Source organism: Homo sapiens, chromosome 5 (assembly GCF_000001405.40).
Source record: "Homo sapiens chromosome 5, GRCh38.p14 Primary Assembly".
NCBI lineage: Eukaryota > Metazoa > Chordata > Mammalia > Primates > Hominidae > Homo > Homo sapiens.
The window spans coordinates 56437155-56438981 of record NC_000005.10 but is presented as its reverse complement, the minus strand read 5'-3'; positions in this window follow the sequence as shown (position 1 = coordinate 56438981).

Here is a 1827-nt window from a genome sequence, read left to right as displayed (position 1 = left end):
AAGAAAGAAGATATCCCCATTGTTAAGCGATGTATGGCTGTATTTAGAGGCCACCAGAACCCCATTCACACTCTCTTCTCTTTGCCAAGATAATCCCTACCTTTAAGTAGATGGGTATCATTCTCAGCATGTGCTTATGCCCATAAAGAACCCATGTGGTGGTTTTGTGTGTATGCACTGCTCACTGGTGGACATTAGGATCCTCCCATGTTTTGATTGTCGCGGACAGAGCTGTAATAATAAACATCCATGTACCAGTCTCCTTGGGGATAGGTAAGAGATAGTGAGCACAACTTCAGCTTTATTAGGTGTTGCCAAATTTCTCTTCACAAGAGTGGTTCCAACACATGCCCCACACTCACAATGCATATAGGTATTTCATCATGCAGACTTTTGTTGTTATTTGCAATCCCTAATTACTTGTGAACAGGAGCATCTTCTTATGTGTTTATTAACCATTTATATTACCTCTTCTGTGAATCGTAAATACCTCTTTCAATTGGATTAACTGTCTCTTTCTTATTAATTTATGAGATTTATTTTTATATAAAGTGCAAGTATCTTCCCCCAGACTGTTTTTTTTCTTCTATCTTTGTTTATGGTCCCTCTTTCTCTCAATTTTTTTTCATCTTAATAAAATTCAAATTTATCAGTCCTTTCCTCTATGGTTTGTAGATATTTGTGTCTTGTATAAGAAAATTCCCCCTATCCAATGTCATATCATCTTCTTCTATGCTTTCTTTAAAAGTTTTAAACTTTGCTTTTTCACATTTAGATACTAATATATCTGGAGTTTATTTCATGTAGGATAAAGGTGGAGATCTAATTTTATATTTTCCATTCTGCTTACTCCTTAAGTGTCTTTTCTATTCCTTGTGGTTTGGATTTTCTTTTATGTCCTTAATCATCAAATTATTGATGATACTTAAATTAGTAATCAAATTGTCAAGTTATTTGAAGTTCTTTGGTTCCAATCCTGCTGTTTGTGTTGTGCTTAATTTTAGTCTCTTGGAAGATTGCTTGTGATTTTAGATTGTTAGTTCAACTTTAGCAGGACTTTATTTGTGGGTCTGTGTAGAATTGGCTGGAAACATCTTCCTTTTACTTCTATCAGGTGTCCCTGGTGTACCATAGACCCAAGCCCAATTTTTTTTTCAATAGGTTTTTGGGGAACAGGTAGTGTTTGGTTATATGACTAAGTTCCTTAGTGGTGATTTCTGAGATTTTGCTGCATCCATCACCCAAGCAGTGTACGCTGTATCCCATGTGTAGAATTTTATTTCCCCCCACCTTTTCCCCTAAATCCCCAAAGTCCGTTGTATCGTTCTTATGCCTTTGCATCCTCATAGTTTAGCTCCCACTTATGAGCAAAAACATTTGATGTTTGGTTTTCCATTCCTGAGTTACTTCACTTAGAATAAAGTTCTTCGATTCCATCCAGGTTGCTGCAAATGCCATTATTCCATTCCTTTTTATAGCTAAGTAGTATTCCACAGTATATATACATCGCAATTTTTTATCCACTCGTTGATTGATGAACATTTGGGATGGCTCCATATTTTTGCAATTATGAATTGTGCTGCTATAAACATAGGTTTGCAAGTAACTTTTTCATATAATGACTTCTTTTCCTCTGGGTACATACCTAGTAGTGGGGTAGCTGGATCAAATGGTAGTTCTACTTTTAGTCTTTTAAGGAATCCCCACACTGTTTTCCATAGTTGTACTAGTTTACATTCCCACCAGCAGAGTAAAAGTGTTCCCTTTTCACCACATCCACACCAACATCTATTATTTTTTGATTACGGCCATTCCTGAAGGAGTAAG